This window comes from Homo sapiens, chromosome 12, assembly GCF_000001405.40.
Source record: "Homo sapiens chromosome 12, GRCh38.p14 Primary Assembly".
NCBI lineage: Eukaryota > Metazoa > Chordata > Mammalia > Primates > Hominidae > Homo > Homo sapiens.
The window spans coordinates 1592240-1608214 of record NC_000012.12 but is presented as its reverse complement, the minus strand read 5'-3'; the positions used below and the strand labels follow the sequence as shown (position 1 = coordinate 1608214).

Here is a 15975-nt window from a genome sequence, read left to right as displayed (position 1 = left end):
CCCAAAGATTGTGTTTTCCATTTTCCCATAGCACTTCAGCAGCCATTGACATGCCTGAGGACATCCATCATCACTCCATCTGAAATTTCTCCTTTTCCTCCCTTTATTGCCGGAAGATCACTGAGCAACCCTAATCACACAGCAGTCTAAGTGATCAAACTTTTATGTACTGCAGCGAATTTCTTACCATTCCAATTGCTCACAAATTTATTGAAATATCAAGTAAAAAGGCAACAATAGGCCAGGTGCAGTGGCTCCTACCTGTAATCCCAGCACTTTGGGAGGCCGAGACGGGTGGATCACCTGAACTCAGGAGTTCAAGACCAGCCTGGCCAACATGGTGAAACCCCGTCTCTACTAAAAATACAAAAAAAAAAAAATTAGCTGAGCGTGGTGGTACATGCCTGTAGTCCCAGCTATTCGGGAGGCTGAGGCAGGAGAATCCCTTGAACCCGGGAGGCGGAGGTTGCAGTGAGCCGAGATCGCATCACTGCACTCCAGCCTGGGTGACAAGAGCGAGACTCCGTCTCAAAATAAATAAAGGCAACAATAGCAGATGACTGCAATCCTGAGTGTGCGCCTGGGTGAGGAGACTCAAAGACGCTCGGCATGTCGGAGGAGAGATGCGTTCAACCTGAATTGTTCCCGTGACCCTGAGAAAGTGACTTCTCATTCTCTGCTTTATTTTCATTTGTAAACAAATAAAAAGCAAGCAAACAAAAAGCAACCATTGTCATTAAATGTCTACACAGTGCTTTTGTTAAATATTTACACCTGCTTTGAGTGTCATCTGGTCACTAAGATTTGCTATTATGTGACAACTCTCATTTAGGTTCCCTGAACCAGTTAAATTAAGGAAATTAAGGAATTCTTTTTTTTTTCTTTCTTTCTTTTTTTTTCTGAGACAGAGTCTTGCTCTGTCACCCAGGCTGGAGTGCAGTTGCGTGATCTCAGTTCACTGCAACCTCCGCCTCCCCAGTTCAAGCAATTCTGCCTCAGCCTCCTGAGTAGCTAGGATTACAGGTGTGCTCCACCAGACCCAGCTAATTTTTGTATTTTTAGTAGAGACAGGGTTTCACCATGTTGGCCAGGCTGATCCCGAACTCCTGACCTCGTAATCCACCTGCCTTGGCCTCCCAAAGTGTTGGGATTACAGGCCTGAGCCACTGCACCTGGCCCATTAAAGAATTCTTGATGGTTACAACAGTAGCCACTGATTTCTTATGTTAGTTACTTGAACTCTTTGGCCTTCAATAGTAAGTTAGTTAGTTAGTTAGTTAGTTTGTTTGTTTATTTTGAGACGGAGTCTTGCTCTGTCGCCCAGGCTGGAGTGCAGTTGCTCGATCTCAGCTGACTGCAACCTCCGTCTCCCAGGTTCATGCGATTCTCCTGCTTCAGCCTCCTGAGCAGGTGGGATTACAGGCGTACACCATCACACTGGCTAATTTTTGTATTTTTAGTAGAGATGAGGTTTCACCATGTTGGCCAGGCTGATCTCAAACTCCTGACCTCAAGTGATCTGCCTACCTCGGCCTCCCAAAGTGCTGGGATTACAGGCGTGAGCCACCGCGCCTGGCCAAATAGTTTAAAAATAAAAAATAAACAACAAAGAATCTCACTGAAGCTTGAGATTGAAGCTCAGTCTGAAGCCCCAGGCAAGCTGTTCCAACTTTAGAGAAAATGTGGACAGGGTTTTCATGCCTCTTTAATTTCCTGCACACAAGGCGGGAAGGTCAGTGCTTGGTGTTACTGACCTCTTTAGGAATGACTGGATTCAGGAAGGCAGTGGCATCATGTGACATAAAGGTGTGGTTTTACCTCAGAACCATCTTTTCTGGGGTGTGAAGAGTTAATCAGCATTAACTCTGAGCCTTCGCTTTTCTGCCCCTTGAGACTCTGCTTGTTTTTTTTAAAACCTTTAACCCTATCCTCTTGGCAGAAAAGGGGACCTGGCTGTGAACTCTGTAGCTGGGCTGATCCCTAAAGCTCCTCTGGGTCTGACATTATGTAAGAAATGTAAATGCTCTGACTCATCCAGATAGGACTTTCCAGCAAAGCCTGGCCTGGCGCCAGCACCTTTTCAAAAAGGGAGCACCCTTCGCACTGTGGCTCAGTCAGGCCTCGGGCGGCAGCGTCCCGCCGAACGCGGAGTTCCAAATCCGCTCTCAGTAAGACTGATCTTGATTCCCCCTTGTCTTTTGAAATATTTATCAACATGCGAAAGCCTCTGAGGATCCTGATAAAATGACCTTTACTGGCAGAGGGAACAGAGCCCCAGGCTAGGCAGAAGCAGCCAAGTCAGCAGTCCACTCCACGGTGGTGAACGTTTGGAATTTAGGCAGCTCCAGGCAGCCTCTAAACCTGTGCCTACTTCCCTTGGAAAACAGAATTGAAACTGCTTCTCCACGCCCACTTCGGCCCTCAGTGCTGACATTCTGGAAAGAGCTCTAGCTGCGATAACCGTCCCACCCCACAGACATAAAATGGCACTTGGCAGAAATTGACACGCAAGAGCCTCCCCTTGAGAGCGCCTTCTCTTCCCTCCTCTCCAGACGCTGTGCCTGGCCCGCTCCTGCTTCCCCTTCTGCTCGGCAGGGTGCACTCCTCATTAGTCCTAGTTGTACTTTTCACTCTTCCCGGGCCCTGGCACTCTCTTCATGCCCGGCCACACCCCGCTTTTCCCAGCACTGTCCCTCCATGCCAGAATCTCCCCGAAGTTCTGCTCCCGGGCTGTCACTGGGAAGAGAGGTCACCGACACCCGAGTGGGCTTTTCAAGGATAAAGGGCTAGTAGGGAAGTCACCGCTAGAGGGTGACATAATTACACACAAACGCATTCCTGGTCCTGCGAGGCCACAGCCAGCTGTGGGCCTGAAGGCATGAAACAGGTATCAGGATATCTACCCTGCAGTACACACACTCACACAGGCACAAACACACACCACCCTCTGTCTCTCACATACACTCACTCTCACACACACACACCCTCCCCCACACACTCTCACACACACACTTTCTCACACACTCACACACACACTCTCACACACACTCTCTCACCCCCACACACTCACACACACTCACCCCACACACTCTCACACTCACTCTCACACACACTCACCCTACACTCTCTCACACACTCTCACCTCCCACACACTCACCCCACACACTCTCACACACCCCCACACACTCTCACACTATCACACACTCACCCTACACACACCCCTCACACACTCACACACACTCACCCCCCACACACTCTCACACCCCCCACAAACACCCACACACACTCTCACACACCCCCACACACTCTCACACACTCTCACACACTCTCTCACACACTCACCCTACACACTCACACACCCCTCACACACTGTCTCACACACACTCACCCCCCCACACACACCCCACACACTCTCACACACACACACACACACTCTCACCCCCCCCCACACACACACTCTGACCTATTTTGGCTAGCAAACCAACCAGAGCCTTCGAGTGTCTTCCATGATCACCATGCCTCACCGTGACCAGATCCTGCTCACAGTATGGTCAATATGACACTCACTGTTAACTCTTTTTTTTCCCCAAGCCAAAGGTACTTTATGAGGAGTTGTTCAAATACATAATGGGACAGCAGTACTCCTAACAAGCAAAACATACCACACATTTACATGGCGCTTTAAAGATCTCAAAACATATTTGCACATCTTTTTTTCCTTTTATTTTCAGTTGACATGTAAAAATTGTACACATTTATAGAGCACAGAGTGCTATTTCTATCCATGTATGCTATGTGTAATGGATCCAATCAGGGTAATCAGCATATCCATCACCTCGAAAACCATTTCTTTGTGTTGGGAACACTGAAAATCCTCTCTTCTAGCTTTTTGAACAAATAAAATAAATTGTTAACTATATTCGCCCTACGGTGCTTTAGAACACTAGAACTTATTCCTCCTGTCTAGTTGTAATTTTACATCCATTAACCAACCTACTCCTGCCCTCCCCTCCCTGCTGCACTTCCCAGCCTCCTTCTTTCAGACAGGGTCTCCCTCTGTTACCCAGGCTAGAGTGCAGTGGTGTGATCATACCTCACTGCAGCCTCGACCTCCTGGGCTCAAGCAATCCTCCCATCTTAGCCTCCAGAGTAGCTGGGATCCCTGGTGCGCACCACAATGCCAGGCTAATTTTTGTATTTTTGTAGAGATGGGGGTCTCCACATGTTGCCCAGGCTGGTCTCGAACTCCTGACCTCAAGTGATCCACCCGCCTTGGCTTCCCAAAGTGCTGGGATTACAGACGTGAGCCACAGTGCCTCACCCCTACTTCTGTTTCTATGAGCTCAGTTGTTTTTAGCTCCCACACATGAGTGAGAACATGTGGCATTTATCTGTCTGTGTCATGGACCTCTCTTTACGTGGCATCATAGAGTAACTGCATCCTAGCAAGGCGGACTGCTAAACTTATACTGTTAACACAGCAAAGCATGGTGGCTGGGATATGGGCTCTAGATCCAGATCACAGAATTCAAATTCCAGTTCGGCCAGCTGTTTGGTCTTGAGCCAGTCCCTTCTCTGGGCTGTACTTTCTTCATCTGTAAAATGGAGATAGTAATGAACCCTCTTCATAGGCTGTAAAATGAGCTGTTGTCACAATTAGGGAAGTTCATAAATGTAAAGACCTTAAAAGAAGGCCTACTGCTCAATCAATGCTCTGTAAACATTAGGCTGTTTTCATTACGGTCTGTCACCATACTAGGAGGTTACACACATTACCCCAGTCAACCCTCACAAAACTCCCAAGATTTGGAAATCACTAGTTCCATTTCATAGATGAGATAATGGAGCCTCTTAGTGGTTAAATAATTTGTCCAAAGTCATAGAGCTAATAAGTGACAGAGTCAAGATTTTATCCTAGAATTCATCTGACTGTAAAACCTAAGTTCTTTCCACCATACCACTGGAGAAAATTTCAACCTTTGTATCAGAGGAGCTCATGATCTAAACGACAGAAGATGGAGGGGGGCGGGGGACTATAGTTTTGTCCTACAGGATTTTAATTTTGCCAAAAAAGAGAGAGCTTTTAAGAAGTATAATTTAACAAAAGTTTTAAAGAAGGAAAAAAAAGGTGGGTACTAGGAGGTTCTACCAGCGATTCTCAGTTCTGTGATCCCCAGTTCCCAGGTGATGCTGACAGCAATGTGAGAAACGCAAATTCTCAGGCCTCTCCCCAGATGTCCTGCATCAGGAAGCCCTCAAGTTTATTCTGATGCCTAGTCAAGCTTCAGAATCACCACGCTAAGCAAAAGAAAGAGTAACAGTTGGGCCAGGCGTAATGACTCACGCCTATAATCCCAGCACTTTGGGAGGCTGAGACGGGTGGGTCACCTGAGGTCAGGAGTTCAAGACCAGCCCGGCCAACATAGTGAAACCCCATCTCTACTAATAATACAAAAGTCAGCCAGGCGTGGTGGCAGGTGCCTGTAATCCCAGCTACTCGGGAGGCTGAGGCAGGAGAATCGCTTGAACCCGGGAGGAGGAGGTTGCCGTGAGCCGAGATCACGCCACTGCACTCCAGCCTGGGCGACAAGGTAAGACTCTGTCTCAGAAAAAAGAAAGAGTAAGAGTTGGTAGTGAAACCATAGGTCCAAGGCCACAGGACGGATGGATGTCTGGCAGAAGAGGAGTTCTGGACTATTTCTTTGCGCATGAATGGAACATGCTACCCTTCCTGACTTACAGAGGAGAAGATAAGATGCAAACACATGGCTGGCTCTACCTGAAAGATCATTCTCTTATGCGCCTACGCTTTTGTTATGTTTCCAGTCCTTGAACCTGTACATTTCTTTTTCTTTTTGAGACAGAGTCTCGCTCTGTCACCCAGGCTGGAGTGCAGTGGAGTGATCTCGCTCACTGCAACCTCCACATCCCAGGTTCAAGCTATTCTCCTGCCTCAGCCTCCCGAGTAGCTGAGATTACAGGCACCCACCACTACGCCTGGCTAATTTTTTGTATTTTTAGTAGAGACGGGGTTTCACCAAGTTAGCCAGGCTGGTCTCGAATTCCTGACCTTGTGATTCGCCTGCCTCGACCTGCCAAAGTGCTGGGATTACAGGCATGAGCCACTGCGCCCAGCTTCGAACCTGCACATTTCTTTAAAACAGGAAGTACAGTTTTAAAAAAGTGTCACTGTCAGTAAATGTACATCTGTATAATTCTGAGGCACATCTGTAAGGGTTTTTTTTTTTCTTTTTCAAAGTGCATCTTTATACAAGAAAAAAACAAAAACAGCATTTACTAGGTCCCTACTATGTGCCGGGCATGCACTAGGCCCTTCCTTTCTCGTGGATGTTTTCTTAACGCATCTCACCACAGCTCCGTGAACGACAATCACTTTCGTTTTATAGATGAGGAAATTGAAGCTCAAAGAATTGAGTGACTTTGCCATAGGTCAGGCAACAGACTACAGTGGGAGGGCAAGGATTCAAACACACAGCTTCAGACTCCAAGTATGGTGTGAACGCAGCTCACGGGAATGGGAACAGAAAGCACGGGCACGTAGGGGAGAGTCACACGTGGACGCCACAGGCAGGACACCCTGAACTTCCCTCTTTTTCCATCCTTGTCTGGTTCTATTGTTAGAGAGAAGAATGGGGCAAATGAGGAGAGAGCTGACTAAAACAAATTTTTTTTTTGAGGCAATCTCGGTTGTAAAAACAGTTGCAAAGTCCAGACCATGAATTAAAATTTTCTGACTTCAGATACTGAATTTCCAATTCCAGATACATAAGAGTTAAAGGTTTCTCTTTTTTCTCTCTCTCCTCTCTCTCTCTGTTACCCAGGCTGGAGTGCACTGGTGTGATCACGGCTCACTGCAGCCTCGACCTCCTGGGCTCAAACTATCCTCCTACCTCAGCCTCGTGAATAGCTGGGACTACAGGTGCGCACCACTGTGTCTGGCTAATTTTTTAAATTTAATTTTGTAGGGATAGGGTCTCCCTGTGTTGCCCAGGCTGATCTCGAACTCTTGGGCTCAAGTGATCCTCCCACCTCAGCCTCCCCAAATGCTGGGATTACAGGAATGATCCACCGTGCCCAGCCAGATCTCTTATTCTTGGGAAAAATAAAAGCCAAGAATTCTTTAGGAAAGTGATTTTTTAGATTTTTTAGATTAACTGATGCCTCAATATGGAAGATCCATAACAATGTATGACAATACATGGTTGCTATTGTAATGTTCTTATTTTTTTCTAAACAATATAAAACTTCAGCCTATTCTCTAAAAAAATTTCCACTATAATGTAATGACATTCTTCCCATCAACACCTATTCAAATTCTAGGTTTCACTATGGATCCTCCAAACTGAGAACTTTATTTCTATCACTCTGCTGGCACTTATAACACTAACAAATACTGTCACTGTCACAGGTATTTTCTAGCTCACCTGCTGGATCCCAAGTTCTTAAAGGCAAAAACGTAATCTTCTACATCTTTGTTTATTTCATAGCACAGAGCAATGTATATAATTTGTATTAATATTTTCCTGAATTTTTTTTCTCGAGAGATGGTCTGGCTCTGTCACCCAAGCTGGAGTGCAGGGGGGCAAGCACAGTTCACTGCAGCCTTGACCTCCTGGCCCAGCGGTCTTCCCGCTTGCCTCAGCCTCCTGACTAGCTGGGACTACAGGTGCATGCCATCACGCCTGGCTAATTATTTTTATTTTTATTTCTTGTAGAGATGGGACCTTGCTATGTTGCCTAGGCTGGTCTCAAACTCTTGGGATCAAGCAATCCTCCCACCCTGGCCTCCCAGAGTGCTGGGATTACAGCCACCCTGCCCAGCCTGAATGATTGAATAAATTGAAAACCCGTCTTTCTAAGTGTTCGGTGACCTGGAAATGGCTACATTTACAACACACTTTATTTTCCTAGAGTTGTTCTATCTACCTGTTTTGTAACAAGTACCTAAGGTGTTTGTCAACATTGAACAAACAATACCTGATATCTGAGATTATTCTATTACCGTATTTCTGATTCTTTGGTTGGGTGCCTGAAACTACAAAAACACCTATTATAGTTAACACTCAAAAGCTGCAAATAACAAATTACAAATGGCAACCCGATTTCAAGAGTAAAAGGGCGTGACCATCCATCGGGCGTGAATACTAATAGTACAGCACCCCCTTTCACCTCCGTGGGTTTCCCAGTGTGGACAATATAGCACACATTCACCCTCACGGGAAGGCTCTGGCTACCCAGATCACAAGCCCTTATTTTTACGGTAGTGGATAAAGATGATCCTAAGCCTACATTTACAAGATACAGCAAGCTAATAATTTGGGGGAACATCTCAAATATCTCAGGGGGTTCCCGGCAATCTGTTGATGTAAGAATACTTTTCACCTATTTTTCTCTCTTTTTTTCTATCTTTATTTCAAAATGTTTGTCCTGCTAAAATCTTTTTTAAATTTTTAATTGTAAAGTACACACAACGTAAAATTTGTCATCTTAACCTTTTTTTGTTTGTTTGGTTTTGGTTTTTTTAGACGAAGTTTTGCTCTTATTGCCCAGGCTGCAATGCAATGGCACGATCTTGGCTCACCGCAACCTCCACCTCCCGGGTTTAAGTGATTCTCCTGCCTCAGCCTCCCGAGTAGCTGGGATTACAGGCATGTGCCACCACACTCGGCTAATTTTGTATTTTTAGTAGAGACGAGGTTTCTCCATGTTGGTCAGGCTGGCCTCAAACTCCTGACCTCAGGGGATCTGCCTGCCTCAGCCTCCCAAAGTGCTGGGATTACAGGTGTGAGCCACCACGCCCGCCTAATTTTGTATTTTCAGTAGAGACGAGGTTTCTCCATGTTGGTCAGGTTGGTCTCGAACTCCTGACCTCAGGTGATCTGCCCGCCTCAGCCTCCCAAAGCGCTGGGATTACAGGCGTGAGCCACCGCGCCTGGTCCATCTTTAAGTGCATAGCTCAGAAGTGTTAGGTATATTCACAATATTGTGCAACCAATTTTCAGAACTTTTCCATCTTGTAAAACTGAAACTCTATATCCATTAAACAACTCCCCATTCTGCATCAGCCCTCTCCCCAGCCCCTAGCAATGATTATTTTTTCTGTTTCTATAATTCTGACTACTCTAGATACCTCATATAAGTGGAATTGTACAGTATTTCTCCTTTTGTGACTGGCTTACTAACTTAGCACAGTGTCCTTAAGGTTCATCCATGTCTCACTATGTGTCAGAATCTCCTTCCTTTTCAAGGCTGAATAATATTCCCTTGTGAGTATATACCATGATTTGTTTATCCATTCATTTGTCAATAGACATTCGGGTTGCTTCTAACTTTTGGTATTACGAATATCATTACTATGAACATGGATGTACAAATAGCTCTTCGAACCCCTGCTTTCAATTCTTTTAGGTACATACCTAGAAACAGAATTGCTGAATCATACGGTAGCTCTATTTTTAATTTTTTGAGAAATGGCCATACCGTTTTCCATAGCAGCTGCACAATTTTTTATAAGAGAGATGGGGTCTTGCCATGTTGCCCAGGCTGATCTTGAACTCCTGGGCTCAAGCAATCCTCCCGCTTCAGTCTCCCAAAGCACTGGAATTACAGGTGTGAGCCACTGTGCCTGGCCCACAACTTTACATTCTCACCCACAGTGCACCAGGATTCTACTTTCTCCAGATCCTCACCTATACTTGTTATTTTCTGTTTTATTAATAGTAGCTATCCTTATGGATATGAGGTGGTATCTTACTGTGGCTTCCATTTGCATTTCCCTAATGACTAATGATGTTGAGCCTCTCTTCATGTGCTGTGGATCACCTGTGTATCTTCTTTGGAGAAATGTCTATTTAAACCCTTTGCCCATTTTTAAATTGGGCTTTTTTTGGTTGTTGTTTCTGCTTAAATCTTTTATTTGCAATCAGTGAATCAAATCCTCACCCTCTCTTATCTTTAATATTCTGTCACGAAGAAGTGTCGAGAGAGATGCTCTCCTACTTAGAAATACTGAGCAACAGAATGAATGTTACTCTCAAGAAACCTTGAAGTTGGAAAGGCAGCATTTTATTATAAACCTCAGATTACTAATGGCTGCCCAGAACTCTCGAAGAAGTTTCGATATGTATGAAGTCTTTCATAAAGAGATTATTATTTATATTATCCATCTCATTCACTTCAGTTCAACAACACTGACAAAATGTCTACTACATAGCAGGCATTGTGCCATAGATACACTAGAGTTCAAGGAAAATAGACACAAAATATTTTAACTTTTTTTTTTTTTTGACAAGGTCTCTTGCTCTGTCGCCCAGGCTGGAGTGTAGTGGCACAGTACCAGCTCACTGCAACCTCTGTCTCCTGGGTTCATGCGATTCTCATGCCTCAGCCTCCCGAGTAGCTGGGATTACAGGCATGTGCTGCCATGCCCGGCTAATATTTTCGTATTTTTTTTAGTAGAGACGGGGTTTCACCATGTTGGCCAGGCTGGTCTCGAACTCCTGGCCTCAAGTGATCATCCCGCCTCGGCCTCCCAAAATGCTGGGATTAGAGGCATGAGCCACTTTGCCCGGCCTATGTTAACTCCTCTGACCCAACCCATAAACTAGACTCTGGGCCACTATTTTTGGAGATATATATATATATATATATATATATATATATATATATATATATATATATACTTGAATGAGGAGTTAAAAGCTACAGAGCTCTTCTGATCTTTCCTGCCAGGTCTTCCCCTTCTGAAGGAGAAAGTATGAATCCTTAGGTAAGCCTGATCTTTGGGTTGGGCCTCTCAATTTTCCCACCCTACCCAGGTGAAAAGCACATTCCATCTGAAAAATCTAGAATTAAAAAAAAAATTCTTTGTAAGGCTTTGGAGAGACTCCCTACACAAGGCTATCATTTCTGCTTTTAAATAGGCTAGTTAAAAAACTTATGGTTGCAACTTGTTAAATCATATACAAAAATCTCAACCAGTTTTAAAAATATGAAGAGCAAGCCACAGGATTTTCTACATTGGTATACATCTTTGCCAGACAATCAGAGTCTCCTGTCTATACATATTCTTCATATATTTTTGTGTCCTAAGTCTGAGCATAAACCAAAGCTCCCAGGAAGTTATTGTATTCGAAGTTATTCTTAATATCTGGAGCCTGCATTAGGAACAATGTGTAATTGTTCCATGGGTTAAGGAGACAGTATGCTAGGCTCTTGGCCTCAGAGTGTTCCTACTGGAAAGGTCCCTGAAGATTACCTAGTCAAATCATCCTGGTGTTACACAAGGAAACCGAGACCCAGAAAGGAGAGTCGTTTCCTCAGTAGCATAAAGTCACCAGGTGTTCAGATTCGGCATAGGGCTCATTCTACGCCCTAGTTCCTTTTCCCCGGGAATGCTTTTTCTGTGATGCTTCTTGATGCTATATTTTCCTATTTATTGAAGGTGAAAATAGTCATATTGCTGAAAATCCTTATAATATATACTTGAGTGCCTTAAATAAAAGGCTTTGTGTTAATAAGATTCTAGAATTCAAGAAAAACTGTTGTTAGAACGAGGACCAGATGGCCAACTTCTAGAGAAAGTGCTTCCAGATACCTCTGAATGACTCTTCAGATTTGAGAACAAGGGCCTTTCTAGAGAAGGAAAACCATTAGGCTCCTTCTTAGTCCGAGGCTGGTCAGGCCCCTTGTCTAAAATTCCCCCCAAATGTGTGGGGTACTTTGTTTTTTATTAAGCAGGATTAAGTTACACTAAGGTGCTTTGGATTAAGGCCTTGACATCAACCCAAACACATCTAGGTGCACAGAACAATCAAAAAGTGACTTTTGCGCAGAATTTAAGGTAAACGTTTAGGCAGAAGTGACTGAGAAGAATAAAAGCCTAGATAACCTCCAGGAGAAGAGTGAAGCCCAGGCATACCCCAGAATCGTGACACTTACTGCCACCGTACATCTGGATGTACTGGATGACTAACAGTACAGTCTATTTTTTCAAGAAGGTTATAAAAATCTATGGGCTCCACACTGCGTGTAATGTGGGTGAGGTAACAAGCTGGCGAGAATTTTTGCTTCTGCATTTCCTGATTTAGGAAAGAGGAGTGGTAGGGGTGTAAAAGGTGTATTATGCCTATTACTGAATCTGTATGTATTTGGTCTAATAGTGGTTGCTTGGGCAAAAGTTACTCTCCTACACTGAATATGGAACCCCTTCCAAATCTTGTTCAGGTCCTCAAAGAATCAATGAAACCATTTTCCCTTTCTGATAAATCCGCTGGTCTTGTATCTAGTTGTGTGGATCCATAAATTAAAATACAGAGGATCATTTTCTCTGATCCAAAAATTCTTGGTTTGGGGGTAGTTAAAATGAAACTTCTGAAATTCTATCCTTAGTACGGACATTTAGGACCCAGGGGCTACATCCTAGAATGGAATTGTGCCCTGCTTCCATAAAACGGTTGATAAACCAACAGACACGACTGGATTGTCTTAAACCAAGTTCAACTGTCATTCCATTTTAATCAAAAAGTAAATTGGATTCAGCATATACGAATATATTGACTATCAGTACAACTGAGCCATACAACTGATAGTCTAAGGCTGATGACAAGGAGAAAGCTCCTAAAACAAGGCTTAGGGGAAGGCTGTTCCCCTGTAAGCAAAGCGGACTGAGGGCATTGGTGGCGCAGCAGCGTTCAGAAGTAGAGGGAAGTTTTGATGTATCAAGTACCGAGGGAAACACACACAGCGTGTCTGGAAACCATCAGAAGATGCTAGAAGGAAGTAGTCATGGATAATTCTAGAAATTTCTAGAACACCGACTGGAGGGGGTCATTGTTTAAGATGAGTACAGCCGAGTTTCTCTCCAATTTAAGACACAAGACTGGAGAGAAAGGCGTCGTAGTAAACAGCCCCAACCGGGGGAGCAGGGGGTGTGATAATGAGGCGTTAAGGGGCATTAGGGACAGTAAGAAAAGGAGAGTTGGGGTGACGATTATTGAGCACTGCTATAGGAGGCGGCTCTCGCAGGGATAATCAAGGGAGAGGGGTGTGAAATAAGGGTAACGAATTGCAGGGGTAAACTGTGGGAAGGGGCTGCGCAGACTTCAACAGCAAAGAAAAAGAAGGAACGGGGCTGGGGCGTGGCCCAGAGAGGGAACGGCTCAATAACGGGCTACCGGGTGAAAAGAAGCCGGGTGGGGAGGCGCTCTGCTGACAGCTGCCGCTCCCCCGTGGCGCCCACAGGGTTAAAAATCAGGGGCCACGGGACCAGGCCGAACTCGGTTTCCAGGGCAACGGCTCCACAGTTCCGGCAGCGCAGGCCCGTACCATTGCGCGGGCGCGGGGGAGCGGGAGCGGCGGAGGGGACGCGCTGCAGGGCGGCGGAGCCGGGGCCGGCCCGGGCGCTACCAAACGCACGGCCCGCCTGCTCGCCCGGGGTCTGCGCCGAGCCGCGCTCCGGCCGGACGGCCGCGGCGTCCTTGGTGCGGGGGCCGGCAGCTCCCAAGTGGCCGCGGACGGCGGGGGAGAAGGAACGCACGCCGCCGGCCGGGATTGGCCTCCTGGTCCCCCCGCCTGGGCGGCGGAGTGCGGGCGGCCCGGGGCTGGGAGGTTTGAAAAGCGGGCGAGAGACAAAGGCAGCAGGAAGCCTCCTCCGCGCCCGGAGCCCGTGCGCCCGGCCCCCGGGGCCCCCTCGCCGCCCGCCGGCCCGCGGAGCAGCGGCGGCGGCAGGAGGCGGAGGATGCGGCAGGGGGCGTGGGCGCGGCGGCGCGGGCGGAGCGGCGCGGCCCGGGCGCGGCGTGGGTAGAGCCGAGGCGGCGGCGGCGGCCGGCCTCCGGGAGCGAGAGCGAGGCGCCTTCCCCGCCCGGGATGTGAGCGCCGTGCGGAGCCCGGGGCGGGGGAGGGCCGGGCCGGAGGCGCAGCCGGCAGGAAGGAAGGACGGACGGACCAGGAGGAGGAGCGGCGGCGGCGGCCGGAGCCGGAAGGCGGGGAGGGGCCGGCCGTTGGGCCCGAGGCGGCGGCGGCGGCGGCGGCGGCGGCTGGGGAGAAGCGCTCTCGTCGCCTGCCCGAGGCCGGAGCGGCGGGGCCCGCGCCTCCTCCCCCCAGCGCCGCGGAGGGGGGAGGAGGAAGATGGAGACCCACATCTCATGCCTGTTCCCGGAGCTGCTGGCCATGATCTTCGGCTACCTGGACGTCCGGGACAAGGGGCGCGCGGCGCAGGTGTGCACCGCCTGGCGGGACGCCGCCTACCACAAGTCGGTGTGGCGGGGGGTGGAGGCCAAGCTGCACCTGCGCCGGGCCAACCCGTCGCTGTTCCCCAGCCTGCAGGCCCGGGGCATCCGCCGGGTGCAGATCCTGAGCCTCCGCCGCAGCCTCAGCTACGTGATCCAGGGCATGGCCAACATCGAGAGCCTCAACCTCAGCGGCTGCTACAACCTCACCGACAACGGGCTGGGCCACGCGTTTGTGCAGGAGATCGGCTCCCTGCGCGCTCTCAACCTGAGCCTCTGCAAGCAGATCACTGACAGCAGCCTGGGCCGCATAGCCCAGTACCTCAAGGGCCTGGAGGTGCTGGAGCTGGGAGGTTGCAGCAACATCACCAACACTGGCCTTCTGCTCATCGCCTGGGGTCTGCAGCGCCTCAAGAGCCTTAACCTCCGCAGCTGCCGCCACCTTTCGGATGTGGGCATCGGGCACCTGGCCGGCATGACGCGCAGCGCGGCGGAGGGCTGCCTGGGCCTGGAGCAGCTCACGCTACAGGACTGCCAGAAGCTCACAGATCTTTCTCTAAAGCACATCTCCCGAGGGCTGACGGGCCTGAGGCTCCTCAACCTCAGCTTCTGTGGGGGAATCTCGGACGCTGGCCTCCTGCACCTGTCGCACATGGGCAGCCTGCGCAGCCTCAACCTGCGCTCCTGTGACAACATCAGTGACACGGGCATCATGCATCTGGCCATGGGCAGCCTGCGCCTCTCGGGGCTGGATGTTTCGTTCTGTGACAAGGTGGGAGACCAGAGTCTGGCTTACATAGCCCAGGGGCTGGATGGCCTCAAGTCTCTCTCCCTCTGCTCCTGCCACATCAGTGATGATGGCATCAACCGCATGGTGCGGCAGATGCACGGGCTGCGCACGCTCAACATTGGACAGTGTGTGCGCATCACGGACAAGGGCCTGGAGCTGATCGCTGAGCACCTGAGCCAACTCACCGGCATAGACCTGTACGGCTGCACCCGAATCACCAAGCGCGGCCTGGAGCGCATCACGCAGCTGCCGTGCCTCAAGGTACTCAACCTGGGACTCTGGCAGATGACGGACAGTGAGAAGGTCAGGTGAGGGCGGCAGCACCAGCTCCCCTTGTCCCGCCCTGTTCATCCTCCCATTACCACCGCCCCCACACACTCACACGCACACTTACGCACAGATCATTGCAGCGGATGAGATGGGGCTATGACAGAAGCCTCAGGCTCGTTTCCTCCTCCCTCCTCCAGCCCCCTCCCGGCTTCCAGCCCATTCTCTTTGCAGCTGGGGTTCCTACCCTACCCTACTCCCAGCTCCTTTTCCCCGCGGATGGAGAGATGGACTCTGCTGCTTACCCACCCACTCCCCTGCAGGGGGTGGAGGACTGATTCAGCTACTGTATCCCCACTGCTGTGACTGGAAATGGGGGTGGGGAGTGACTGGTCTTTTCAACCCTGGGGAGTTGAGGAAAATGTCTGCTTTCACTTCAGCTTTCATTTGAATACTGTGATCTGGTTTTTATTTTGAAATGTATAAAAAGCAAACCCAGCTACAAAGGCCTTTTCACCCTTCCACTTTGTAACTAATCCCAGTCTCTTCTCATCACTCCTCCTCTTACAGTACTCTGCTATTCATGCTCATTTCATGTTCTTAATCTTCTTTCCTGTTTAAAAATTTTTTTTTGGAAAAAATTTGAAATCATGGTCCTTTTTTCTGCTG

The 15975-nt window shown here is 48.4% G+C and overlaps 1 protein-coding gene across 6 annotated transcripts in view, besides 9 other annotated features; it reads left to right on the top strand.

The window, feature by feature from the left end:
- Positions 1843-2362: an enhancer, noted in NCBI's record as "H3K27ac-H3K4me1 hESC enhancer chr12:1715019-1715538 (GRCh37/hg19 assembly coordinates)". NCBI's record gives its function as "activates a minimal SCP1, AML or CMV promoter by ChIP-STARR-seq in naive H9 embryonic stem cells {active_cell/tissue: H9 hESC(naive)}" and the evidence as "EXISTENCE:reporter gene assay evidence [ECO:0000049][PMID:30033119]".
- Positions 2363-2884: an enhancer, noted in NCBI's record as "H3K27ac-H3K4me1 hESC enhancer chr12:1714497-1715018 (GRCh37/hg19 assembly coordinates)". NCBI's record gives its function as "activates a minimal SCP1, AML or CMV promoter by ChIP-STARR-seq in naive H9 embryonic stem cells {active_cell/tissue: H9 hESC(naive)}" and the evidence as "EXISTENCE:reporter gene assay evidence [ECO:0000049][PMID:30033119]".
- Positions 2513-2592: an enhancer, noted in NCBI's record as "active region_5807". NCBI's record gives its function as "activates an Ori minimal core promoter by ATAC-STARR-seq in GM12878 lymphoblastoid cells {active_cell/tissue: GM12878}" and the evidence as "EXISTENCE:reporter gene assay evidence [ECO:0000049][PMID:35858748]".
- Positions 2713-2772: an enhancer, noted in NCBI's record as "active region_5806". NCBI's record gives its function as "activates an Ori minimal core promoter by ATAC-STARR-seq in GM12878 lymphoblastoid cells {active_cell/tissue: GM12878}" and the evidence as "EXISTENCE:reporter gene assay evidence [ECO:0000049][PMID:35858748]".
- Positions 12930-12999: an enhancer, noted in NCBI's record as "active region_5805". NCBI's record gives its function as "activates an Ori minimal core promoter by ATAC-STARR-seq in GM12878 lymphoblastoid cells {active_cell/tissue: GM12878}" and the evidence as "EXISTENCE:reporter gene assay evidence [ECO:0000049][PMID:35858748]".
- Positions 13260-14129: a silencer, noted in NCBI's record as "silent region_4115". NCBI's record gives its function as "represses an Ori minimal core promoter by ATAC-STARR-seq in GM12878 lymphoblastoid cells {active_cell/tissue: GM12878}" and the evidence as "EXISTENCE:reporter gene assay evidence [ECO:0000049][PMID:35858748]".
- The window catches only part of FBXL14 (F-box and leucine rich repeat protein 14), a 28850-nt gene continuing 26247 nt past the window's right edge, over positions 13373-15975 (top strand). For 3 of the 6 annotated variants that reach the window (NM_001405292.1, XM_047428391.1, NM_001405293.1), the window contains exon 1: positions 13373-15300. In NM_001405292.1, the coding sequence (NP_001392221.1) occupies positions 14149-15300 (1152 nt within the window). In that variant the 5' untranslated portion in view covers positions 13373-14148. Of the gene's footprint in view, positions 15348-15975 lie in introns of all 6 variants that reach the window. The other 3 variants (NR_175934.1, NM_001405291.1, NM_152441.3) reach the window with 2 other exon arrangements.
- Positions 14370-14559: an enhancer, noted in NCBI's record as "active region_5804". NCBI's record gives its function as "activates an Ori minimal core promoter by ATAC-STARR-seq in GM12878 lymphoblastoid cells {active_cell/tissue: GM12878}" and the evidence as "EXISTENCE:reporter gene assay evidence [ECO:0000049][PMID:35858748]".
- Positions 15077-15680: an enhancer, noted in NCBI's record as "H3K27ac-H3K4me1 hESC enhancer chr12:1701701-1702304 (GRCh37/hg19 assembly coordinates)". NCBI's record gives its function as "activates a minimal SCP1, AML or CMV promoter by ChIP-STARR-seq in naive and primed H9 embryonic stem cells {active_cell/tissue: H9 hESC(naive and primed)}" and the evidence as "EXISTENCE:reporter gene assay evidence [ECO:0000049][PMID:30033119]".
- Positions 15110-15159: a silencer, noted in NCBI's record as "silent region_4114". NCBI's record gives its function as "represses an Ori minimal core promoter by ATAC-STARR-seq in GM12878 lymphoblastoid cells {active_cell/tissue: GM12878}" and the evidence as "EXISTENCE:reporter gene assay evidence [ECO:0000049][PMID:35858748]".